This window comes from Homo sapiens, chromosome 2 (genome assembly GCF_000001405.40).
Source record: "Homo sapiens chromosome 2, GRCh38.p14 Primary Assembly".
NCBI lineage: Eukaryota > Metazoa > Chordata > Mammalia > Primates > Hominidae > Homo > Homo sapiens.
Window position 1 is genome coordinate 227,962,372 of NC_000002.12, and position 27,253 is coordinate 227,989,624.

The following is a 27,253-nucleotide window of genomic DNA, read 5'->3' on the forward strand; positions in this document are numbered from 1 at the left end:
GCTGACAACTGGGCTGGACTGGGATGGAAGATACAAGAATGAGTCCCTCCCATATTTGTCACCTCGGTGCTCCTTCCCATGACCTCTTTTTTCACGTGACCAGCTTGGGCTTCCTCATAGTATGGTGGTCTCAGGATAGTAATACTGTTACAGTAGGTAGTCAGACAGAAGCAGGGCAGGAGACAGCCCCCCTCCCCCCACCCGACAACTCCAAGGGATGTCTGGCAACCATCAGGTGATGGTCAGGTGGTCGTTAAACTGCCTCTCTGAAATAATAGTTGGGTCACAGCTGGTGCCAGGGAAAGGTAGTCTCCCAATAGATAGAAACACCAGGAACGGATGATCAGCAGCTTCCAGATAAGATCTCAGGAAATGGGTGAGTAGGCTCAAGCATATGCACTAAGAGACAAAATGGCGGAGTTTAACTGGTAACTGGTAACTTGACTGGTAAGGGAAAAATGCCTCAAGGGAACACGTGCATAACTTCAGCAAGCACTGTGCACGAGGCCCCTCCCAAGTGCTAGAAGGCCACAGTGCATGTGGACAGCCCACCCTAAGGGGAGAGGCAGGGGAGAAGAGATGCAACCCCCTGCACCCATGCCAAGGTATAAACCACATGTCAAAGGTCAAACCGTGCACTTGATCTCTCAGGTTGCCCGCTTGGCCCTGTTCCAAGAATACTTTACTCCCTTTGATTCCTGCTCTAAAGCTTTTTAATAAACTTTCACTCCCACTTTAAAACTTGCCTCAGTCTCTCACTCTGCCTTATGCCCCTTGGTCAAATTCTTTCTTCTGAGATGGCAAGAATTAACGTTGCTGCAAACCCGTGTGGATTCACCGCTGCTGACATACTTTGGTGCTGCGTAACTCGGATACATTTCCCTAGTGCTAACAATACTTATATTGCTGCTAGTTTTCCCCAAGAGAATATGAAGATTGGCAGGCCTTTTGCAGGCCACAATCAGAACTGTGTAACATCATTTCCATTGAATTCAAAAAGTTACCTCACTGAACTGGTAAGCGAGGGACGAATAAACTTACATTACTTTGAGGTTCATTTTTTAGAGTAGTTAATGATACTAAAATATATGTATTTCTACTTATAAAACAATAATGAAGACTTTTATGATTTTATATAGGTAGACATAGGGCAGCTCTGAGCAGGGTAAGTTGAGGGTTTAGATCTGATCCTCTGTAGTTTTCTCAGCAGTACCCGTCCCCAAATTTTCAGTCTTGACCCCCTCTACGTACCCACTCATGCCCAGAGGAAACTGTTTAAAGGCATTTTGTTCTTTCTTGTCTTCCTTGTAGTTTGTAGATGAGCTGATAAATTATCTAAAATGTTATCACAAGTTGCATTTCTTAAATGTGGATATTGTCCTCAAACTGATTTCATGCATTTATAATTGGGTTTATTAAGCAATATGAACTCTGCAGGCTACAAACATACAAGTATTTAATTGTTGTCCACTTACCTTTCCAAACCAATTTTAAATACCTGTCTTACTGCCTCCTCTTATCACTCAGGTTTGATTATGGCCTGAAGGAACTATAAGGAGAAGAGGGCATGGTTTTATTTGTTCCTTTACTTTTCCACAGGCTTCATGGGTGTGCTGCCCGTGTAGCCACCTAGGCCCTACACTTTGTGAAATCATGCACTTGGTTTAATGCTTTGCTGTTGCCATCTTGAAATTCTTAATAATTTTAGAAAAAGGGGCCCTACACTTTCATTTTACACTGGGGCTTGCTGATTATGTAGCTGTGCTGTTTTCTTGGTTTTAAATTTCTCCAACAGGTTGGAGGGAAAGGGAGGCAGAAGAAAAAAGAACAAAATTCTACTTATCTAGCCAATTTTGAAACACTCTGTGTCACGGTTGTCACTGTTTCTCTGACCATTGACAGTCTTCTCTGAACATTGATCCTGTCGACCTAAGAAAGAAACTAAGGCAAAATTAATATAAGTAGAGGGTTTATTTGGGCCAAATCTGAGGACCACAACACAGGAGAAACAGACTCAAATTGCCCTGAATATATTGTCCAATTAGCAGCAGTTACAAGTGGGTGTTTAAAGGAAAAAATAAGGGACAGTTCTCACATTGATTCATTAAAATAGCATAAGCTATTGATTGGCTATACACTGTTCTTTGTATCACAAATTTCAGGAACATGAAGATAATGGGTGAGGGTCACTTTATGCAACTCTAAGACAATAAACAACAAATGCCTTTAAACAATTGACCCTAGGCATAGGTGTGTATGTGGAGCGGGTCGAGATTCAAGTCTCTTACTTATGCCACTCTGGGCATGATACATTTCTCATACCTCATGTAGCTCAGACTGCTTTGAGCTAATTTTCTTTTCTTTTTTTTTAATTTATTATACTTTAAGTTCTAGGGTACATGTGCACAACATGTAGGCTTGTTACATAGATATACACGTGCCATGTTGGTTTGCTGCACTAATTAACTCATCATTTACATTAGGTATTTCTTCTAATGCTATCCCACTCCTTGCCCCCACCCCACGACAGGCCCTGGGGTGTGATGTTCCCCACCCTGTGTCCAAGTGTTCTCATTGTTCAATTCCCACCTATGAGTGAGAACATGCGGTGTCTGGTTTTCTGTCCTTGTGATAGTTTGCTCAGAATGATGGTTTCCAGCTGTATCCATATTGCTACAAAGGACATGAACTCATCCTTTTTTATGGCTGCATAGTATTCCATGGTGTATATGTGCCACATTTTCTTAATCCAGTCTATCATTGTTGGACATTTGGGTTGGTTCCAAGTCTTTGCTATTGTGAATAGTGCCACAACAAACATATGTGTGCATGTGTCTTTATAGTAGCATGATTTATAATCCTTTGGGTATATACCCAGTAATGGGATCTCTGGGTCAAATGATGTTTCTAGTTCTAGATCCTTGAGGAATCGCCACACTGTCTTTCACAACGGTTGGACTAATTTACGCTCCCACCAACAGTGTAAAAGCATTCCTATTTCTCCACATCCTCTCCAGCATCTGTTGTTTCCTGACTTTTTAATGATCGCCATTCTAACTGGTGTGAGATGGTATCTCATCGTGGTTTTGATTTGCATTTCTCTGATGACCAGTGATGATGAGCATTTTTTCATGTGTCTGTTGCCTGCATAAATGTCTTCTTTTGAAAAGTGTCTGTTCATATCTTTTGCCCACTTTTTGATGGGGTTATTTGTTTTTTTCTTGTAAATTTGTTTATGTTCTTTGTAGATTCTGGATATTAGCCCTTTGTCAGATGGGTAGATTGCCAAAATTTTCTCCCATTCTGTAGGTTGCCTGTTCACTCTGATGCAGTTTCTTTTGCTGTGCAGAAGCTCTTTAGTTTAACTGGATCCCATTTGTCAGTTTTGGCTTTTGTTGCCATTGCTTTTGGTGTTTTAGTCATGAAGTCCTTGCCCATGCCTATGTCCTGAATGGTATTGCCTAGGTTTTCTTCTAGGGTTTTTATGGTTTTAGGTCTGACATTTAAGTCTTTAATCCATCTTGAATTAATTTTTGTATAAGGTGTAAGGAAGGGATCCAGTTTTAGCTTTCTACATATGGCTAGCCAGTTTTCCCAGCACCATTTATTAAATAGGGGTCCTTTCCCCATTTCTTGTTTTGGTCAGGTTTGTCAAAGATCAGATGGTTGTAGATGTGTGGTGTTATTTCTGAGGACTCTGTCCTATTCCATTGGTGTATATCTCTGTTTTGGTACCAGCACCATGCTGTTTTGGTTACTGTAGCCTTGTAGTGTAGTTTGAAGTCAGGTAGTGTGATGCCTCCAGCTTTGTTCTTTGTGCTTAGGATTGTCTTGGCAATGCGGGCTCTTTTTTGGTTCCATATGAACTTTAAAGTAGATTTTTCCAGTTCTGTGAAGAAAGTCATTGGTAGCTGGATTGGGATGGTATTGAATCTATAAATTACCTTGGGCAGTATGGCCATTTTCACGATATTGAGTCGTCTTATCCATGAGCATGGAATGTTCTTCCATTTGTTTGTGTCCTCTTTTATTTCATTGAGCAGTGGTTTATAGTTCTCCTTGAAGAGGTCCTTCACATCCCTTGTAAGCTGGATTCCTAGGTATTTTATTCTCTTTGTAGCAATTGTGAATGGGAGTTCACTCATGATTTGGCTGTCTGTTATTGGTGTGTAAGAATGCTTGTGATTTTTGCACATTGATTTTGTAACCTGAGACTTTGCTGAAGTTGCTTATCAGCTTAAGGAGATTTTGGGCTGAGACAATGGAGTTTTCTAGATATACAATCATGTCATCTGCAAACAGGGACAATTTGACTTCCTCTTTTCCTAATTGAATACCCTTTATTTCTTTCTTTTGCCTGATTGCCCTAGCTAGAACTTCCAACACTATGTTGAATAGGAGTGGAGAGAGAGGGCATCCTTGTTTTGTGCCAGTTTTCAAAGGGAATGCTTCCAGTTTTTGCCCATACAGTATGATATTGGCTGTGGGTTTGTTATAAATAGCTCTTATTATTTTGAGCTACGTTCCATGAATACCTAGTTTATTGAGAGTTTTTAGCACAAAGGGCTACTGAATTTTGTTGAAGGTCTTTTCTGCATCTATTGAAATAATCATGTGGTTTTTGTTGTTGGTTCTGTTTATGTGAATGATTTTGTTTATTGATTTGCATATGTCAAACCAGCCTTGGATCCCAGGGATGAAGCCCACTTGATCGTGGTGGATAAGCTTTTTGATGTGCTGCTGGATTCGGTTTGCCAGTATTTCATTGAGGATTTTTGCATCGATGTTCATCAGGGATATTGGTCTAAAATTCTCTTTTTTTGTTGTGTCTCTGCCAGGCTTTGGTATCAGGATGATGCTGGCCTCATAAAATGAGTTAGGGGGGAGTCTATCTTTTACTATTGATCGGAATAGTTTCAGAAGGAATGGAACCAGCTCCTCTTTGTACCTCTGGTAGAATTTGGCTGTGAATCCATCTGGTTCTGGACTTTTTTTGGTTGGTAGGCTATTAATTATTGCCTCAATTTCAGAGCCCGTTATTGGTCTATTTAGAGATTCAACTTCTTCCTGGTTTAGTCTTGGGAGGGTGTATGTGTCGAGGAATTTATCCATTTCTTCTAGATTTTCTAGTTTATTTGTGTAGAGGTGTATATAGTATTGTCTGATGGTAGTTTGTATTTCTGTGGGATTGGTGGTGATATCCCCTTTATCATTTATTATTGCGTCTATTTGATTCTTCTCTTTTTCTTCTTTATTAGTCTTGCTAGTGGTTCTATCAATTTTGTTGATCTTTTAAAAAAAATCAGCTCCTGGATTCATTGATTTTATGAAGGGTTTTTTGTGTCTCTATTTCCTTCAGTTCTGCTCTGATCTTAGTTATTTCTTGCCTTCTGCTAGCTTTTGAATGTGTTTGCTCTTGCTTCTCTAGTTTTTTTAATTGTGATGTTAGAGTGTCAATTTTAGATCTTTCTTACTTTCTTTTGTGGACATTTTGTGCTATAAATTTCCCTTTACACACTGCTTTAAATGTGTCCCAGAGATTCTGGTATGTTGTGTCTTTGTTCTCATTGGTTTCAAAGAACATCTTTATTTCTGCCTTCATTTTGTTATTTAACCGGTAGTCATTCAGGAGCAGGTTGTTCAGTTTCCATGTAGTTGTGTGGTTTTGAGTGAATTTCTTAATCCTGAGTTCTAATTTGATTGCACTGTGGTCTGAGAGACAGTTTGTTAAGAATTCTATTCTTTTACATTTGCTGAGGAGTGCTTTACTTCCAACTATGTGGTCAATTTTGGAATAAGTGCAATGTGGTGCTGAGAAGAAAGTATATTCTGTTGATTTGGGGTGGAGACTTCTGTAGATGTCTATTAGGTCCACTTGATGCAGAGCTGAGTTCAAGTCCTGGGTATCCTTGTTAACTTTTCTGTCTCGTTGATCTGTCTAATGTTGACAGTGGGGTGTTAAAGTCTCTCATTATTATTGTGTGGCAGTCTAAGTCTCTTTGTAGGTCTCTAAGGACTTGCTTTGTGAATCTGGGTGCTCCTGTATTGGGTGCACATATATTTAGGATATTTAGTTCTTGTTGAATTGATCCCTTTCCCATTATGTAATGGCCTTCTTTGTCTCTTTTGATCTTTGTTGGTTTAAAGTCTGTTTTATCAGAGACTAGGATTGTAACCCCTGCTTTTTTTTTTACTTTCTATTTGCTTGGTAGATCTTCCTCCATCCCTTTATTTTGAGTCTATGTGTGTCTTTGCACGTGAGATGGGTCTCCTGAATACAGCACACTGATGGTTCTTGACTCTATCCAATTTGCCATTCTGTATTTTAATTGGAGCATTTAGCCCATTTACATTTAAGGTTAATATTGTCATGTGTGAATTTGATCTGGTCATTATGATGTTAGCTGGTTATTTTGCTCGTTAGTTGATGCAGTTTCTTCCTAGCATCAATGGTCTTTACAATTTGGCATGTTTTTGCAGTGGCTGGTACCGGTTGTTCCTTTCCATGTTTAGTGCTTCCTTCAGGAGCTCTTGTAAGGCAGGCCTGGTGGTGATGGAATCAGTCTAAACAACATCTCAGAAAGCCAATCTTAGATTCTACAATAGTGATGTTATCTACAGGAACAACTGGGGAATTTACAAACCATGTGACCAAAGCCACATGACTCCTGAGACTACAGAAACTATGCCTACATTTTAGCAGAATTCAGGCCCCTTCCATAAATCTAATCTTGTGGCCTTTCACTAGTCTTACAAAAGCAATTCAGACCAGGCATGGTGGCTCACACCTGTAATCCCAGCACTTTGGGAGACCAAGGCGGGAGGCATCACTTGAGCCTTGGAGTTCAAGACCAACCTGGGCAACACAGTAGGACCCTGTCTCTCCAAAAAGAAAAAAGAAAGCCAGTCATGGTGGCACACATCTGTAGTCCCAGCTACTTAGGAGGCTGAGGTGGGAGAATTGCTTGAGCCCAGGAGATCAAGGCTGCAGTGAGGTGTGATAGCGCCACTGTACTCTGCCCTGGGTGAGAGAGTGAGTCTCTATCTCAAAAATAAATACATAAAAAATAAAAGGTGATTCCAGCCCTGGAAAAGGGAGGTAAATTTTTTTTAGGGAGGGACTTTATTATTCTTGATTCAAAGTTATACTATAAATTCCTCCCAAAGTTAGCTGGGCCTATGACCAAGAATGACCAAGGACAGCTTGGTGGTCAGAAGCAAGATAGAGTCAGCTATGTCAGATATGTCTGTCATAATTTTGCATAGGTGATTTCAAGAAAATGGATATCTTTCCATTCCTTCACCTTTTTGTTCTATTCAGGCCCTAAATGGATTGGGTGATGCCTGCTCACATTGGTGAGGTGGATCTTCATTATGCAGTCTGCTGATTACAATGCATATCTTTTCCAGAAACACTGTGGCAGACACATGAGAAATGATGTTTTCCCTATCTGCATATCCCTTAATCCAGTCAAACTGACACATAAAATTAACCATCACACTGTGCTTGAGAAGTTTTGTGGGTATCCTGCCCAAGAGGGCTGCCTATTGGGTATTGGGGGAAATGGGAGATGGGGATTGCTGGGTCATCAGCTGCAGGGATAAGGGGTAAAGCTGGAGTTGGGGTAGTGTCTCCCACATCAGAGAAATGGTAAAAAAGTGACCCCACAGAGCCCTCCACAAAATGCATACACATATTCATGAGATGGCAGACATTTCGCTTTCCGTCCCAAGGAGAACATAGCCAGCAATTGTATTAACCAGGGAAGCAATAATGGCTATCAGAGAATTGCAGTTGCACTTCCAGATAAAGAAAGAAATATTTGCTCTATTTCCCTTCTGTCCCCCCAGTGCCCAATACCAGTGGAAATAGAACTAGAGAAGGCAGGAGAAGAACAAAACCACAGACACCGCCCCTCTTCCTATTTCGAGCTCCTCAAGCCAAAGCCAGCCAGGTGCTTAGGAAAGGGAGACAAGAGCGATAAGCTGCTTGCAAAAGCCAAGTCTATAAATTGGATTAGACTGACTGAAGATTTTAGTAATGCAAGTGACCAGAAGATATGGGATCTGCCATAGATTCATAATACAATGGCAGAAAAGAGATTTGACAGAATACAGTTGGCCTTATAGTTGGTGAGATTTAAAAATGCATCATATTTTTGTCTGCCTCACATAATTCGAGTTGTTTAATAAACCATTTACATTTGCAAGCTGACTGCTGAGGAAATGATTCCCTGTTCAGTATTCCCAGGGAGTTGGAGCAAGAGGGGAAACAGAGAGAGAGAAACACAGAGAGAGAGAGAAAGAGTGAAAGAAACAGAGAGAGACAAAGAGAGAGAGAGGGAGAAAGAGCAAGAACCTTCTGTATGATTTCTTCCCTTCAGATCGGGGCAATTTAGGTCCTATGTCTATTTCTGGGCTAAATGCTCTGATAAGGGAAGACTCTGGTGGGCTTGGTCCAGCCTGCATCCACCCTGGGAGTTGGGATACAGTCAGCTTCTCTTGCATCACATAGGTTATGTGCAGGAAGGTGGATGCCTACCAAAAAAAAAAAAAAAAACGGTAAAAAGGAGAGAGAGAAGGCATGCTGCTGACTAGGGGACAAAAAGCCTCTACTACACGGTGTCACTGTATGTGATAATCATCTGCTTCCACTTTGGCCATGACCCATGTGGCCCTTGGCAGTGTAACCAATTTTCTTTGGATTGCTTCACGCCAAAGATCCCCTCCATCACTCACAGTCACTATGAATGCCCAGATTGGGACAGGACAGTTGTCATTTTCAGTGTATAATTAGTGACCAACAGGTCTGTGTACTGTGGTGACGTTGTGCATACCCTCTTTCCATCGGCCTGTCTAAAGGGAAGATTCCTCTAACTCCTAGACGTGTAATGAATTCACGTTGGCATTTGTTACTTTGAAAAATAACCTCCTGTTACTTTTTCTCTTTTCTCGTTGCCTCCTGGAGTCAAGTTTAAAAGGAGAATTTGAAAGTCATCTCCCAGTGTGTTTAGGATTCGTTCATTCTTCCCATGCTGAGTGTTTGGCTCGCGCACGCTCCCTCTGCGATCCACTGAAAAATTCTGCTTTTTGGTTTGCTGCTTAATTTTCCATTTTGAACAGACGAATGGCACAGCATTATTCATTGAGTATTTAATATAATATAGCGTTTTAAAGGATACATATAATATAGCATTTTAAAAATACTTCTAAAAGCATTATGAGGGAAGCCAAACATTTTTTTTTGGTGCCTTATGAAGAAACTTTTATTTTAAATTGTAAATTTCAAAGTTTTGGATAACATAACCTGGTGTTCTTCCAGATTGTGGGCATCTTTACATGTTGCGGTTAAATGCAGTGTTTGCCTGGAGGCAGCTTATATGAATGGTCTAGAAGTAGAGGCTCCTCCCCAGGGATGCTCTCAAACAGTCAACCCAACCATATAAATAGCCATCAGCTCCACTTTCCCAGCCTTAATTGTGCTCAATGTCAAGTAAATAACACAGTTTTATTCACTGTTCTCTCTTCTTACTTTAGAAGAGTCACGGTGGCTGAGAAAATACATAATACAATCGAGAAAGAATGATTTGTGGGTTATGACTCTGCTTCTTTTTCTCTCTGCATTGTCCGTCCTCTGACCTCCCTTGCTTTTCATGCCTCCAACTTATGCCAATTAACAACCTTGCAGCAGAAGCTAAGAGTGCAGCCTCTGAGGCTCATCTGCCTGGGATCGATCCTGCTCTGCCTGTTTCTGGCTCTGTGACCTTAAGCAAGCCACTTATTCTCTTTGTGCTCCAAGTTTTTCAGTAACGAAGTGGTAATAATAATACCTATTTCAGGGAGTTATGGCGGAGAGTAAATCAGTCAATGCACGTACAGCACTTCAAATCATGTCTGGAACATGGAGCAAGTGCTCACATAAATGCTAGTTGTTGTTGTCTCTGCTTCCTTGCTCAGGTCCTCTCAAATCTCTGCATCTTGATTTGCTTACCTATAAAATTACATTCAATTTTTTCCCCCACATTCAAATAAGTACGTGGACCTGAACAAGGAGCACAGAGGAAGAAATCATTAATAAAACACTGGCTAATTAGCATTGGTAAGCTTCTTGTCAAGGCTGTCCTGCTTTCCAGAACTATTAGAAGTTGACCCTTCTCGGACTTCTGTGAGATACTCATTAGCGGATGTCACTGTCTTAACTGAAGGGCTGGCCAAAACCTCCATGCTGAGTCAGGAAACTTCATTTTCTTCCATGAATAAATTTATTTATTTATTTATTTATTATTTTTTTGAGATGCAGTTTTACTTTTGTTTCCCAGGCTGGAGTGCAATGGTGTGGATTCGGCTCACTGCAATCTCTGCCTCCCGGGTTCAAGCGATTCTCCTGCCTCAGCCTCCCCAGTAGCTGGGATTACAGACACCCGCCACCATGCCCAGCTAATTTTTGTATTTTTAGTAGAGACAGCGTTTTACCATGTTGGCCAGAGTGGTCTTGACCTCCTGACCTCAGGTGATCCACCTGCCTTGGCCTCCCAAAGGGCTGGGACTACAGAGTGAGCCACTGTGCCTGGCCAAATTTGTTTATTTTAAAATGATGTTTATTCATCAGTCAGGGTAGTTCCAGCGATGATGGTATTGCCCTTGACATTCTGAAGGATGAGACCCCATGACTCAGGCAACCTGCGCTTCTGTGTCACCCACCCATGTGGCAGCGCAGGACAAACGAATGCAGCATGCAGGGACAGAACGTGCTGGAGACAGCTGGAAAATGTCAGGAGAGAATAAAGGTGGGAAAAATACATCACCAAAGAGACATGGGGCTGAGAGGAAAAACTGTCCAAAGAATAGAGATGTATTGGCTCCGTGTACACTACTGTCCTTTGATATATAGTTTACTCTTTCAACCCCGCTTCCAGCATTGTTCTCACGGTTATAACAAGCAAGCACAGACCCTCTCAGTTGATGAGGTGCAGGCAATAGCTGGCTTTCTCACCACCTCTTTACTTGGTACCAATAATCGCATGCTGAGATTGACTAGTGAGTCAGTCCTCAGGGACCATCTCAAGTGTCACTCTTTGACTTCTTCAAAAACTTTCACATTTACTCAAAGGCCCTTGGAACCACTGAGGGGAGGCATGACCTAAATGAACACTTTTCACTACCCTTTAAACCTTACTCTGCTTTTAAATTAAAGTTTTTTTTCTAGCATTTTTTATTGTTGCTATATGCCCAACTAAGTTTTATATATTATTAATATATTTTTGTTATGGCTCATCATTTATGTCCTTTACTAGAGTGGAAATTCTCAAATGTTGAAAACCCTCTCTGCTCTCCATTGCATTTCTTTGTGTCATCTAGAACAGTGCTCAGCATGCTTGGTGTTGAATAAGTATTGGTGGAACGAGTAGCTAATGAATGGAATGAGTTTTTCTCCACAACCTTGCCAGCATCTATTATTTTCTGACTTTTTTATTTTTATTTTTTTGAGATGGAGTCTCACCTTGTCACCCAGGCTAGAGTGCAGTGGTGCAATCTCGGCTCACTGCAACTTTTGTCTCCTGAGTTCAAGCAATTCTCCTGCCTCAGCCTCCCAAGTAGCTGGAATTACAGGCACGCTCCACCACACCCAACTAATTTTTGTATTTTTAGTAGAAACAGGGTTTCACCATGTTGTCCAGGTTGGTCTTGAATTCCTGACCTCAAGTGATCTGCCTGCCTCAGCCTCCCAAAGTGCTGGGATTACAGGCCTGAGCCACCATGCCCAGCCCTGACTTTTTAATAATAGCCATTCTGACTGGTGGTATCTCATTGTGGTTTTAATTTGCATTTCTGTAATGATCTTCATGAGAACATGCTCTACACACACCAAAAAACAAAAACCTTTAAAGTAGCATTACTTCTGGTCAGAATCTGAGTTTTTTGATCTGCCGTCCTCATAAATGAGGGTGGGTTTTCTTCAAACAAATAAGAATTGACGATAGGAACCAGAGGCAGGGTCTGGAAGGTGAAAGCAAATGAAGAAGACATGAGCCCTACTATTCAGAAACTAGAACCGAGTTATGTAGAAGGCTTGAACAGCTCCCTGAAGTTCTACCAATAACCCCTAAATTTTGTGTATTTGCAGCTTTCCTCAGGTTTTCAAAAGAGCCTTGATATGGTTTGGCTGTGTCCCCTCCCAGATAATCTTGAATTATAGCTCCCATAATCTCCATGTGTTGTAGGAGGGACCTGGTGGGAGGTAATTGAATCATGGGGGCAGTTACCTCCATGCTGTTCTCATGATAGTGAGTGAGTTCTCACGAGATCTGATGGTTTTATAAAGGGCTTGTCCCTGCTACTTCACTCTACGCATCTCCTTGCTGCTGCCATGTGAAGAAGGATGGGTTCTTCACCCATGAAGGATGGGTTCCACCATGATTGTAAGTTTCTTGAAGCCTCCCCAGCCCTGCGGAACTGAGAGTAAAACTTCTTTCCTTTATAAATTACCCAGTCTCAGGTATGTCCTTATAGCAGCATGAGAAAGGACTAACACAAGCCTATGCCATAAAAATGTTAAGAATTATAGCTACATTTTTTCTTTGTCTCACTCAACACTCTCAGAGTTTTCCTCACCTCTTTGGGAATAGTTGTTCAAAATTTGATTTCTCTGCCTCTTGCCAGAGGCATTTAGAAAACAAAGAAACAAACTGTTCCTGGATGTTTAGGAGCAAGCTTCTTCTAACCTTCACGTTGTTTAGACACCGCACCCCAGACAATTGCTTTGTTCCTTCCTTGGTATCATCTCTCTGCTAGACAGCAATATACAAAATGTTCAGTTAGAAATGGTCTTATATATCAGATTATTCACGACTTGTTATATTAAAACATACATTAAAAAATGAAGTATCAAAAGCATTTGGTAAATATATTGGAGAGCCGGAGAGCCTAGAACTCTCCAATACTATATACCTGCAATGAATATTTAAAATAAGATTCTGCTGTCAAAAATGCAGAGGGTAATGACTGATCTAATTCAGTGAGGTGGGTTTTTTTTTTTTTTTTTTTGGCATTTCCGTGCATTTCATAAAAGGTCATCATGTGGTCTACTGCCCTGATTAGTAAAAATATTGCTAGGTTTAAAATAATTGGGTCCTGTTGCTTGACACAGTCGGCAAGAGTATCCTTCACAAATGTCACACATGGGCCTGGAGAAGGATCCATGGCACTTAAAGCTAGAGGCTGTCTTGGTTTCATCCGCCTTTATTCTGTCTCAACAAAGAGCCATTAATTCTACTTTTCTCTGTAAGAACAGAAACTCTTGTTTCTGTTTTATCTGTCCTGCATGTTGTTGTTTGTGACATACTAATAGAGAGACAGGTTGTGTGTGTATAAATATTTGGGCCAGATGTTCAGCCCAAGGACATCACGATTTGCCATAAAACAATCTTTGCACCTGGGTTTTGAGTGCTCAGAGCATCATTGTAAAATCCGGAGTCCCTACCATGTTCTAGATCAGAAACTGGCAGAATGAAGGGTATAGTAATGGGATGGAGTTCAACAAAGTGGTGGGAATCTTCCAAAAAGGAATAAAAACATGTTGATAATTGTTTAATGGAAGGCCATCTCCAAGGAATGGAAGGGCTTCCCTTAGCTTTTTGCAGAAAGGAGCTGTGAACACTGAACAGAAGAATGGGAAATTAGAGGACTTTCAAGAGGGCATTTTTGAAGGAACTATTCAGGAAAAATTTAGTTGGTTAAAGGATCTTTGCAACAATAAAAATAGATTAACATTTTGTGCACAAACAAGTTTTGCTGGGAGCAAGGGAGGCTCAAAGAATGTTTTTCTTCCTCTGTTAGTTTCATTCGAACCTGCCTGCACTTGATTGGATTCCAAGTTCTGCTGGTAATGTCCTGGATATCACTTAAATTCATTCTAATACCTCTAAAATAGTCTCAGTTTTGTGGTATTAAAATATTTTACGTCAAACATTCTTATACAATTCCAACAACATGCAAATGTTTGTAGAACGCTTCACTTGCCTGAATCCAAAAGTAATTTCATAAGAAATTCTGAGCAGCTTTATATGCCAGGTAGCAGTCTCTAATAAGCTAAGAAGAGCATAAAAATAAAACTGTAGTTTTAGAATTAATGGCTGAACTTTATCAGATATAAACCAAGGCCTCAGTTCCCCAAGGTCTATTAGTTTTCCAGGTCTACATAACATCCGCTATTGTGCTAGGGACTATGGCAGAATTCATAGACGAGTAAAATGTGGTTTCATCCTCCAGGAATTCACAATCAGCAACAGAGACCACCTGTACGCAATGTGCCATGCTAGAAGGCAGATGGTGATAAGTGCTTGGGCAGGAAAGGGTTAACTCATGATGCCTGGGTTGTTTCAACCCTGCACATTCCCCAGAGAGGTCTATTTCCAGGACTGACTTTTGGCTGGTTCCTAAGAGCTAAGCATTGAGCCTTGGGAATGTTCTGCCTGGTAAGAGTGTTTTGCATGCCTGAGGCCTTGGGCCATGCTGTACCACTTTGGCCACATAATTTACTCTAATAATGGGATGTATCATAAACATCCATTTTTGGTGTGTAGTGGGGGCTGGAGCATGAGTAGCCAAGGTCCGTCACGTGGGTGCTGCATGCCTACATGACTGACCTCCAGTACCAAACCCGGACACTAAGGCTTCCCTGGTTGGCGACACTTCGCGTGTGTTGTCATGTATCATTATTGAAGAGTTAAGTGCATCCTGTGCAACTCTACTGGGAAGGGACACCTGGAAGCTTGTATTTATTTCTCCCGGACTTTGCTCTATGTGCCCTTTTCCCTTGCTGAGCTTAATTCATTCCTTTTTGCTGTGATAAATCATAACCATGGATACATGGCTTCTGAGTCCTGTGGGTCCTTCCAGCATATCATTGAGTCTGAGGTTGGTCTTGGAGACCCCGGATGCAGAGTGCTGTATGAGAAGAAGAAATCATATCATAGAACTGTGGGGAACCCCTCTACCCATGAACATGCCCATGAACAAAGCTGTCTTCCATGGCATTGTCTCAAATGTAAGATAAAACTCAGTGGCCCACACATGTATTCACATATATAATTTTTCTTACATGTACATCTGATTTTCTATCTCCTTTGATTAAAAGGATTCGTGCTCAAATAATACATTTTGGGACAAATAGAGGGGCTTATGCTTGTACTCTCTGCACTTTGGGAGGCTAAGGCAGGAGGATTGCTTGAGGCCAGGTGTTTAAGACCAGCCTGGGCGACATAGCAAGACCCTGTCTCTATGGGGGAAAAAAAAAGAATATATTTTGGACTCCTTTGCATAGATGGGGAGCCTCTTAAAATGTGGCTTTGATTTCTATTCCCAGCTTCACACCTGGTGACTCCCTCAGCTCATAGCTGTGTTACAATTACATCAAATTTCCAGCCGTGTCTCAGGCTGCATATCCAGACTGCTGCTAATTATCTTTCTGCTCTGAATGTCTTCTCTTCAGCAGTTTGGGGTCTCTTCTCCCTACTTATTAAATGACTCCTTCATACCCCAAAAGCTGAGCTGAAATATTTTCTCCACCACATAGCAATGAATATTCCCCAGTGTTCCCTGCCTTGCCAGTCCATATAGAGTTGCATTATAGCCATTATTATATTGTTCTGTTAGACTTTGATGTGTACATTTCCCCTATAGTCTGTGAGCTCCTAAGTGCCATGCCGCGTGATTCAGCTCTTCATTCCAACTGTCTAGCATGGTGCCCAGCACCCAGTAGTTCCTAGGAAAATGTTTATTAAATGAAGGGACATGCGCTTACACTGTGAAAGGAAGACAGTGGGCCCCAAGAAGATGTCAAGGACAATGGTTTCCTAAGGACTATCTGCTGAGTCTTTGATATGGACAACTGAGATGCTGGTAAACAGCCATGGTTAGGGAAATTCCCCCAACCAGTATGTTCTAGAAATAGCTTAGTGCAAGGAATGATCTTTCCACAGACGACTTAAGACTCGTGGATCACTCTCTGGTTTACTTCTAACAAGGCCAGACACAGACCCTCCAAATTTTCGTTTTTTATCTCATAATTAGCCAAGCTGTATCTATTGACCAACTGGAACAAAGGTTTGTAACTAAACTTTAGTTAAGCTTCTCTCCCTTCCTTGGTTCCCTGAACTTTGGCCCCTTCTCAGTATAAGAAGAGACCCCTCCTGAGACCAGGCTGATCTCAGGATAAAACATTCTCTAATCTACTGTGCGATCACTGGCTCACCCTGTGCATCCCATTCCCCACACCTGGTTCATTGTAGCCTTATTTACTCCTCTTTCTAACAAAACAAAACAAACAAACAAAAAACTCCTTTTTGCCTAACCCTTAACACATTTGCAGATCTTGTGGTTGGAGCATTCTTGTTATTGCAATAGTTCTATTCTCCATTGAAAGAGTCCCCCAACCCCGCTTGCCATAACAAGAGACCCCTCCTGAGACCAGGCTGATCTCAGGATAAAACATTCTCTAATCTACTGTGTGATCACGCCACCTCACTGGCTCACCCTGTCCATCCCATTCCCCACACCTGGTTCATTCTAGCCTTATTTACTCCTCTTTCTAACAAAACAAAACAAACAAACAAACAAACACAAAACTCCTTTTTGCCTAACCCTTAACACATTTGCAGATCTTGTGGTTGGAGCATTCTTGTTATTGGAATAGTTCCATCCTCCACTGAAAGAGTTCCCCAACCCCGCTTGCCATAATCTGTTTAAATAAAGCCTCTCTTTGCCAATGTCCAGAGTTTGTTTTTATTTAACAATATCCCCTGACTGACTGGAGAATTCAAAGCATGTTCATGCCTCCTTATTAGTGAATAAAACAAAGTGCCCATGATTCTCAATGTTCTATTTGCATATATTCTAATAGTTTATTTCCTGAATTCAAAGAGCATCATCCACTTACCTCTATCCCTGATGAGTTTACTTTGAGTTTACTTGAGTCTAGGTTAGTTGATCCCCAGGTTTGTAGACTCCTTGTCTGTCTTGTGCCTCTTTCTCCTATTCCCCAGATTTAAGGTAAAAGCCACACTCCATGGGCCTTGGGTAGGGAAATGCCCGGTTTTCAGGCTCCTTATGGGGATTCCCTAGGCGGCTGAAGGCACGTCCTCCTTTAACACCTCATAGAGACTCAGGCCCTGGTCCTTCAATGCATTCTTGACAACAGTGGTCCTCAACCAGTGATGATTTTGGCCTCCAGGGGACATTTGGCAAGGCTGGGAATATTTTTGGTTATCACACCTGTGAGGGGTTAGTTACTAGCATCTAGTGGGTAGAGGCCAGGGATGTTGCTAAACATCTCACAATATTCAGGATAACCCTCTGCAACAAAGAATGAGGTGGTCCCAAATGTCAATAGTGCCAAGTTTGAGAAACTGATTTCCATGAATATTACTGATTTTAACAAATTAAGCCAAGAACATTTACTTTTTCAAAAAAATGAAAGCAGGACAACAAAACTTTTCTAAGGGATATATAGGCCTTTATACAATTGTACTGGGACTGTTTTTTCTATGAGGTGCTTAAAGCTCTTCCAGAAAAAATAATCAACAATCTGACAACAGAGATTTATTGATTAATTTGCAATGTTAGGTACAACATAGATAACTTCATCACATGGTTACAATCCAGTATTTGAGCTTTGTAAGATAAGTAAACATTTATTTGAGCACAACAAAAGTCTACACACAGTATTCTGGGATTGTTTAAAAAATAAGTGTATTCTATTCCATTTGATAGCACAAAGAAGCACATTTCAGCGTGAATTGATGGATATATTTTAAAACTGGGCATTTAGTTAATGTGTCAAATTAAGCATAATAACCTAAATTTGGACTATCTGAATAAGAAATGCCTAATGAGCACTGGGCAAGTATCCTAGGATGGGAGTGGGGAAGGAAGTATGGCTTACAAGGGAGCTTTCTTTGCATTTCAAAATGTGGATGATAGAGAAGGTGAGGCCAGCATTCATGGTATGGGAACCTGTTCACATTTAAAATTACTTTGTGATCTTTAAAAATAGAGTAAAAGTATAGTTATCCAGAAGTCCTTAATAAACACCTCTTTGATCAAGAAAATAAAAGTCCGTGTAGGTCATTTAGTTGGAAGGAAAGAAGACTTATTAGGGAGACATTAGATACCTTTATTTTTCAAAAGAGTAAATCTCTGTTATTAAAATAACTAAAATGTGTCAAAGTCTTCTTTTCCCCCAATTCAAGGCTAATATCTACGAGTCAGGGAAAGTCTATGATCCTAACTGATCATGTCAAACACAAGACCATTACCCTGCTTCTGTCATTATAAATGTCACTGGAGCGGCATGTCTGCTGTACAGGTAGCAGCACATACGTGATGAAACAGGCCACTGAGCTCAATGTCAATATGTGACTTTAGACAACAATCTCTTCATATTTTAGGAAGCTTGAAGCTAACTCAATATATTATTTAAGACAATAATCTCTTTATAATTTACAATAAAATAAAGTGAAAGTTTGTATTTCATATTATTCAAGACACAAGCAGATTTTATCTGAAAAGACTTTTTTTTAAATATGAAAGCTTTCTCTTAGGATAAGAATTATGTAATCATGTTACACAAGTAATACAGTGATGGAAACAAGACAATCTTTTATCTTCCTCTTCTTCAGTTGAATGACAATAGTTTTCTGCTTAGCTGGGAGTCCACATACTATTTGGGAGAAGTGAGATATTTATCAGTGGGCTGCAGGGAATAAATGAAATCACCTCAGTAGAGGATGCTGCTATACTTTTATCAATGTCTACTGACATTGATTTGAAAGTGGAAATCTTTTGTATAAAAGTCTGGGGATTTCTCACCCATATCTTAAGTATTTCTCCGGGCTGGCAGCCCCTTAATATAATCAGAAAAGTAAAATATAGGTTACGGAATACTCTTAAAAATTATTTTGACCACTGAGTTTGTTTCTAGTTGATTCATCTAATTAGAGACATTACAAATCATTTTATATGATTAAACTTATGTGAGTGTTGTTTTCCTGGAGATTGGGTCTCATTATAAGCATTCTAATTTGGGCCCCATTGAATTCTCTCTTTGTCCAGCCCTTCTAATCCAAGCTCTTTGGAACTCACCCACAAGTTGTATGAATTTGGACAGACCTATATTTTGCTTTTCCTCTGACTTATTCTGTATGCAGTGGATCTGAGTAGCAGATTTTTTTTTATAGTTCTGCTAATGTGATGTGATGTTTTGAGAATGTTTAGAGCATTTAGAACAAACCACTGTAATCTAAGTTGGAATAAAGGGAAGGAATGATCTATACGGCAGACTGCCTTATTATCCCAGTTCCAAGAGCCAGTCAAAGAGACTCAGTCTCCCATCCTTCTGCTCCTCATGCATTTTGCAGTACTGGACAACTGCATGGAAGATATCACCCACTTTCCAGGACTTCCGATGAACCAGCTGCACGACATCTAGAAACTAAAATAAAACGGAGAGTTAGGGCTCACAGAGCACAGAGGGTCCTCAAAGCCACCTCATTCAACCACCCTCGCGAAGCCAATGGCTCTCCAGTCTCTGTTTAAATGTCTCTAGTGTCAGAGGACTGTTTTCCGGGATAATCTATTTTCTTTTTAAGAATTTCAGATTATTACCGAACTTCATCAAGTGAATTTTTTTTTTTTTTTTTTCACAGCAGTTTGCCATTCATTGACTGCAGAGGATTAGGTGGAATGAGACTAATTCTTTTTTTTTTAAGAGCCAGTCTTTTAGATATTTAGTGTTTTCTTGGGTCTGCTTTTTTCTCAGTTAGACTTTCTGTAATAGGATTGTGTATTACAGCTCCCAGTCCCTTCTATTTCTATCACAAATAAGATCTCATTGGGTGTGTAAATTTAGGCCAAATAAATCAAGTGGTAAACTTTGATGCAGGACCACCTATTGATTCTTCATTCCATCCTGAGAAGCAACTCCCTCACCCTCCAGGCTAAAATCAAGGATCAAGAAAGCCTGGCTTTCCACAGCCACAGGATCAGGAAAGATGGAGGAAACACCTTAGATTTGTCACCTGGGTATTGGTACCAGTTCTATTGGCCACAGCCTAGAGAGAAAGTCTGGACTGCAAGTGAAATTGAGGGCTTGAAGGGAGGAAAAATGGAGAAATAATTATAAGTCATTCTCTTCATGGAACTGATGAAGTCCAGTGTGAAGGACTCTCTAACTCCTTAGGTACTTTTTTGAGGAAAGATGTAATGAAAGCCAGGAACTGTAGGAAATATTTTAACACATGTAACCTCATTCAATTCTGTCACAACTCTATGATGTGAGCATTTGCAATGAAAAAGATGTGGGCTTGAAAGATGAAAAATTGTCAGTAGGATCATGGTCTTCTAACACTTCCGTACAATGCTCTTTCTATCACCGCACCTTTCTGCATTTTGGTGGCAAAAGAACTATGCCTGCACATAGTAGGGGCTCCATGCATATTTGCTGAACGACAGAAGGGTTGCAAGACCAAGCGTGAGTCAAATACATTCAAAGATCTCAAGAAGACTGTTGGGAATATGGATAAGTAAATTCTATGTTCTTGATATTTACTTGGAGCACTGGGAGAAAAAATAGGCTGGAAATTTGGCATTGTTTTAGGAGGAGGAGAGCCTTAGTTGCTAAAAAGATGAGGATTGTGGTTCAGTTACTATTTCTTCAATTTTTTTTCTAGGATTTTTTAAAATTAATTAATTATTATTATTTTTTGGTATTTGTTTGCTCAGACTTCAGAGATCAGCCAGGAACTGGAATGCTAATTTCTTTCCAGTTTGAGTATGTTAATTCACTTCAGTTACTGAGAAGTTGTCTCATAGAGATCCGCTGTTAAATGATGTTTCTTCTCCCAGCTGTGATGGTACCAACTATTTGCACAGTTACAGTAATCAGTGCTTTATTGTACTCATTTGGCTTGTATTGGCTGAATCAAAATAAAGCAATTTCCTAGGCTGGAAAATGACATCCTTAACTTTTAATACCTGGAAATATAAACATTGTCTTAAAGAGTGTTAGGATGTTGTGAAAAGGGAGACAGATGGGAGGCAGATGGCAACCATAGACAGCAATCTCCCAGCAGAAGGACATCTTAGCCATCTTTTCATATCTCGTGCCTGCACATAGTAGGTGCTCCATGCATATTTGCTGAATGACAGAAGGGATGCAAGACCAAGCGTGAGTCAAATACATTCAAAGATCTCAAGAAGACTGTTTGGAATGTGGATAAACATTTAGCATCATTGAGGACGAACTTTCACTAAGTATTCATTCTTGAGTTTTAGGTAATGTATTTTCGCATATATAATTTCAACAGGCATATCTTGAGGCTGTTGCTCGATAATTTTCTACTGCAGGAGTGCTCCTTGAAAATGACTGGAGGTTATAGATCTAGGAAAAGGCTGAACAGAGCCTGGAGTAGGAGAGTGGTGGGCAAGCAGCAAAATAAAAGCTGGTCATGGGGCACGTTTCTTATCACGTGGTGACTGAGTGGGAATATACGTTGTGGGGGTGAGATGTGGGGCTGCTTCATGCTCATGGTAACAGCCACGGTGGGCCAGCTCATTCACTCCCATCAGTCTCAGTGTTAGAATTTCAGAGAGGCTGGGTTCGGTGGCTCACGCCTGTAATCCTGGCACTTTGGGAGGCTGAGGCAGGCTGATCACGAGGTCAGGAATTCGAGACCAGCCTGACCAATGTGGTGAAAACCACGTCTCTACTAAAAATACAAAAATTAACCGGGCGTCGTGGCATGCACCTGTAATCACAGCTACTCAGGAGGCTGAGGCAGGAGAATCGCTTGAACCTAGGAGGCGGAAGTTGCAGTGAGCTGAGATTTCACCACTGCACTTCAGCCTGGGTGACAGAGTGAGACTCCATCTCAAAAAAAAAAAAAAAAAAAGAAAGAAAGAAAAAAATTTTCAAAGAAAGTATTCATTGCCTGGGACCTCTCACCACCCTTCTTAGCTTCTTGTCTACCTGATTCTTGACATTTTAGGAACAGACTACAAACCCTTTAGGTTAAGGCTTTGCTAATGAGGAAAATACTCTTGGGAAGGGGAACATTTCAAGCAGCTATTAGTGATTTATGGAGATACATAAAAATAATTTTGTGAGCTGTTACTTATATCTAAGAGTGTATGTAAGATCCAAGCCATGATTTTGATTGAACAAAGGGATGATGACATGCGGCTTCGGAATAGCGGTCTTGAAGGGAATGAAGGGGAGAAAGGCTAAAATGACAGCTTTTGTATGATTCCACTAAGCAGGCTTTTCCTCACTCTCCAGCTCTTACTGGAAATCTAGAAAGTAGAGTTCCTGGTGCAGAAGGCCTGGACATTGAGTTTCTGAGGTCTCACTGGGAGAGGCTCACAGGTTGTTGATTTGTTTCTCGAGACTTCTCTAAGGTATCCCCAGTAGTCTTGGTGCCTCCTTTCACTTAGCAAGTCTGTAAAGATTCCACTGATGGAAACATGACATTTGCCTTGGCTCCTTTCTGTAAACCGTGGCTTACGGGACCACCACCTTATCCCCAACTTTTATCTCTGAGTCATTTTCTGGGTGGGGGAAGAATCAAAGCTCTGGAGCAGATGCCAATATTTGCTAAACTCTTCCCAGAATTCTCTCTGCCTCATACCTTTCTGGAAGCCCTAACACCAGCTTCTTTCCATCTATTTGGGGCCTGTGAAGGAGAGTCTCTCCAAAGTTGTCAAAATAACTCACCAGCTAGGCCACTCTGTGTATAGTTTGTGGTGTGGTCACAAGCTGGAATCTGTCATAATTTCTAAGTCCAGGCTGATATCCCAGTAAAGTGGCATTTAAAAATGGTCTGGCCCCACTAAATAGAGCATGCTCTGAGGCCGTGACGACTTAATCTTGGATATTGAGACCTGGAAACATCTTTGGGGCTGATGAGCAAGAAGAACTCTTCTTTTCTTTTCTTCCATTAAAAAAAGGTAAGAATGAAAAAAGATTGTGAAGAAGTCAGAAAAGGACATTCTAGTTCTTTACCGGGCTTTTAAAACCATGTTTTATTTAGCAGAAAGTCCTAGAGCTCTCACTGTGCCTGTTCATGCTATTGCCTGGGTATTTTCACAATCAGCTTTAGCAAGTCACGATCTGAGTTTTTCTTTCCGCTGCATTGAAAAATAAAAATGAAAATAATTTCATTTTCTGCCATTTCACAATCAGTAATAATTAGGTTCCCTACCCATAGATCATAGTTGGCATTTCTTTGAGCAAATATTTTGTCTTAAGAAACTATATGATGGTATATCATCTGTAGACTCATTTGAAGAAAAGTATAAGATAGGAGATAACTTTTATATTCTTAGGTGCATTTAATAAATTAGATTAATTGTTTACAAAACTATATCATGAAATCTATGGGAGTTGTTGCAAGTTGTGCAATTTTTTGGAAACAGTCAACTTAGATTTCTGAAAGCAACTACCTTCTTTTGCTCCAAGGCAGAATTAGATTGCATTAAGCATAAGTGAGTTGGTCCCTATATTGCTCTGCAATTAAGGCCTGTAGAGCTATCAGTCTGAGCCTTGGCTGCACTCTGGAACCCCAGGCACCTTTACAAAACCCTGATGCCTGGGCAGCATCCCCAGAGAAGATTCTGATCTAATTGGTTTGAGCATTGGAGTTCGTAAAACCTCCCCACGTGACTCTAACGTGCACTAAATCTGACTAAAGGACTCAGTTTTAAGGCACTTTCCTATGATTACAGATGAAGCGCCTCAGTATCAAATTCTTCTAATTTTCCCCTTCCTTTCCAATGAGTTTCTTTGAAGCTGATAACCTTAACTGTAGTTTTTTTGTCTTTGTATTTGCAAAGGTAAGTCAAAAGTCAATACCATCAAATTGGAGACTATTATTCTAAGTTAAGTAACTCAGGAATGGAAAACCTAACATCGTATGTTCTCACTCATAAGTGGGAGCTAAGCCATGAGAATGCAAAGGCATATGAATGATATTATGGACTTTGGAGACTTGGGGCAAAGGGTTGGAGGCAGGTGAGGGATAAGAGACTACAAATTGGGTTCAATGTATACTGGTCGGGTGATGGGTGCACCAAAGTCTCACAAATCACCACTAGGGAACTTACTCATATAACCAAATACCACCTGTTCCCCAAAAACCTATGGAAGTAAAAAAATTTGTTAAAGTCAATACCATCAACATTTTCTCCTTCATTTTTCTTCCACCACTTTGTATGTAAAATAGAATAAGAAATTAGAGGGAGGCACTCCTCTTCTGACGCCCACTTTCTTAGGAAGGTAAGCACATACCCATTTCCTCCTTGGGCACATTCCTTTCTCTGCACTGCCCCCATAGAAAGGAAATAATTCTCAATGCAGGCTCAAAGATGAGAAAAATACCAATTTACTGTGAGAGGCAAGTCATCAGCTACCCCAGCTCAGAGAAGCTCACTGAATTCAAACAGAGAAGAGCTGGAGAGCAATGATCTTTGGATCTAAAAAACCAGGACCATTAGCCATGTGCGTGTCTTTTATTGGCCTTGGATTAATTACATTCAAGTTAACTGATGTCAAGGTTTACAAAGTGTTTTAAATTATTGGATGTAGGATTTTCAGCAATCTTTCCCCTGGGATTTAGGATACTTTAAGGCCACCTCAAATTCTGCTGCTTGTCTAAGATATTTCTCTGGAAGGAGGTCTCAAACTTCAGTGTTTATCAGAATCACATCACTTGTGGGAAATTGTTAAAAATGCATATTTCTAGGCTCCACTACCAGAAAGTGATCAGGTCCTAGAAGGGATCTAGCAATCCAATTTGTGAATAAATGTCTGTCCCACATGACTGTTTCATGCCCACATGGCTCATGGTAACAGTTTGAGAAATACTGTTCTCCGTGTGCTTCTTATTTCCCTTGTCCAGAAAAAGTCCCCATCGTATCTCAAGGTTGCTATTTACAATCTGAGCTTCTCTCCGTTTATATTCTTCTTACCTTTGGTCTGTTCTAAATTAGAATGTAAAATCTAAGAGGGTAGGAAGTGATGTCTCTTGCTCACTGTATCTCCAGGGTGTATAACAGTGCCTGGCATTTGTAGATGCTTAAGACCTGATGAATGTTCTGAATGTACGATTTTCAGGTGCATTTAGCTTTTTAATAATTAGATAAAACACAAGTGAAAGGGAAAATTTGAAAATGAAGTACCATTTGTCACGAGAGGAGTATATTGGGCACTCAGAATGTTTGGAATTTGCCTTTTAAGTTGAACAAAGGATGGAATTAGTGGTGAGTTGCCTTTAGGTGCCCCCAACTCCAAGGCCAAGTTCCTGGGCAGTGGTGGGAAAGATGAGCTGTTTCATTATGAATTCCTGAGACCCTGTTCCCTAGCACATACCTCCCTTTTCACAAGGCAAGAAGGTTAGTAAATTGGGAACACAGTAAAATAAAACACATAGACTAATTAGCCCAAAAAAATTTTAGGATTCACACAAATTAGGAACTCAGGGATTCATCTGTGAATATTGTCCAATACCCTAGTGACAGTGGGAAGATGACATTTTCTGGACTTTGTAGAGACTTTTCTTTAACCTTATCTAAGCTGATGAGAAGCTAATGAGACACTGCTGTTCTCGTATGACACAGCCTCCATGGAAGACGAGCTCTCTTTCGTACACCACTTGAAAATGGCCATTTAACTACCTGGCTAATTCAATAACATCCAGAATAAGGTCCCCAAAAGTACTATTGATAAAAGAAAGATTATCAAAATGTTGCTTAAGGGTTTTTTTTCTTTAACCAGTTCAGTCACAGACAACAAATGGTACTCGTATTCGTGGAAAAGCCACTATGTGCAGAGAGTCTTAGATGACTCAAAAGAAAAATTAGGAGATTTTGTTCCTAAGATTACATTATTTAGAATTAAGTTTCTTGAGCTGGTGCTAATTGAATGAGTGAAATATCATTTAATATCCTTCTTGATAACATTAGCGGAATGTCTATTTTCTCAGAAAAATAGTTGTATCCAAAAACAAGCATTCTCTTTGAGAATCGAAAATCAGGTCGGGATAAACAAATACCAAGTCAGGGCATGATTTGTGTAACTCAGGTGTTTGTGAGACACCTCTTACCCTTGTACCGAATGGGGATTTATGAGACATATATTCACATAACATTGTTTCTTCAAGAAGATACATTGTACAAACATCTATTCCATTCAGATACCACCTGAAAATCTACCATGTCATGCTCTTATTCAGGGAGTGGCAGGAGATAGAGTTGGAACCAGCTCCTCTTTCATTTTCCCATGAGCCTGGGAATGTATTCCTGAGAATGTTTTTCCCTCCTCTACATAGCAAGGGGTCTTTGGGACAGTGTATGGCATGGGGGTAGGGTCACACATGATTATGCTTTTTTATTGCACCCTTTGCTGCTGAGTTGTAAGGTCAGAGGAGAATTTATCAAATAGTGAACCGCTCAACACCTTGTAAATGAAAGTATGACAAGTATAGGAAGGTGCCTAGAATAATTTTGGGTAGAACAGCAGGCAGACATAGGCATGAAGGGAAGTGTTAATTACCAGTTGGAAAAAGGTTGAAGTGAGAAAGGGTATGAAAAATGAATTAGGTCTCCTTTTCAATTTTTCCTGTAGTCGATCCCATGGACTAGTGATGCAGAAATAGAGAAGCTGTTCTAACTACTGTAAGCAGGGACAAGAAGGTAAAGAACATTTCATTTCAGGCTGCTAGATTTTGGCACTGAGAATTAAAATGCAATTACACAGTTAAAAAAATCCAGATTGTAAGCCCAAGGTCATTTAACTTGAGAAAGATCCTTTTAAAATAAAGAACTACTGGGAAGTATTTTATGGAGAAAACAGGGCACAGGGGCTTGGCCTGGGAAATCGCTCATGTACCCGATTTGCTCCTAGTCAAAAAGGGACAATAATATCTGTTCTGTTTTTTCACAGGCTTGTTGAGAAGCAAGTAGGATGAGGCACATGGAGGCACTTTGTGACAATAAGACATGAAAATCCTACCTGGTGGCTTGATAGGCAGGATCCTAAAACAGTACTCAAGGTTTTTCACCCTAATCCCTGGGACCATGAATAGGATGCGATATCATGCCCTTATTACGCTACCTTATATGGCAAAAAGGATTTATCAGTTACCTTTGAGTTAATCAGAAACCTATCAGGTGATTATAATCTAATCACACTTATTCTTTTTTG

At 40.4% G+C, this 27,253-nt stretch overlaps 1 protein-coding gene and 1 long non-coding RNA gene across 7 annotated transcripts in view; one reads left to right on the forward strand and one right to left on the reverse strand.

Annotated features, from left to right (window-relative positions):
- Positions 1–230: 230 nt before the first annotated feature.
- Positions 231–27,253, forward strand: part of LOC105373918 (uncharacterized) — a 79,493-nt gene continuing 52,470 nt past the window's right edge. Inside the window, exon 1 of the long non-coding RNA XR_001739908.2 lies at positions 231–376. This is a non-coding gene — a long non-coding RNA (uncharacterized LOC105373918). The remainder of the gene's footprint in view (positions 377–27,253) is intronic.
- The window catches only part of SPHKAP (SPHK1 interactor, AKAP domain containing), a 201,733-nt gene continuing 192,063 nt past the window's right edge, over positions 17,584–27,253 (reverse strand). For all 6 annotated transcript variants that reach the window (NM_030623.4, NM_001142644.2, XM_006712778.5 and 3 more), the window contains one exon: positions 17,584–19,489. In NM_030623.4, coding sequence (NP_085126.2) covers positions 19,346–19,489 — 144 coding nt within the window. In that variant the 3' untranslated portion in view covers positions 17,584–19,345. The remainder of the gene's footprint in view (positions 19,490–27,253) is intronic.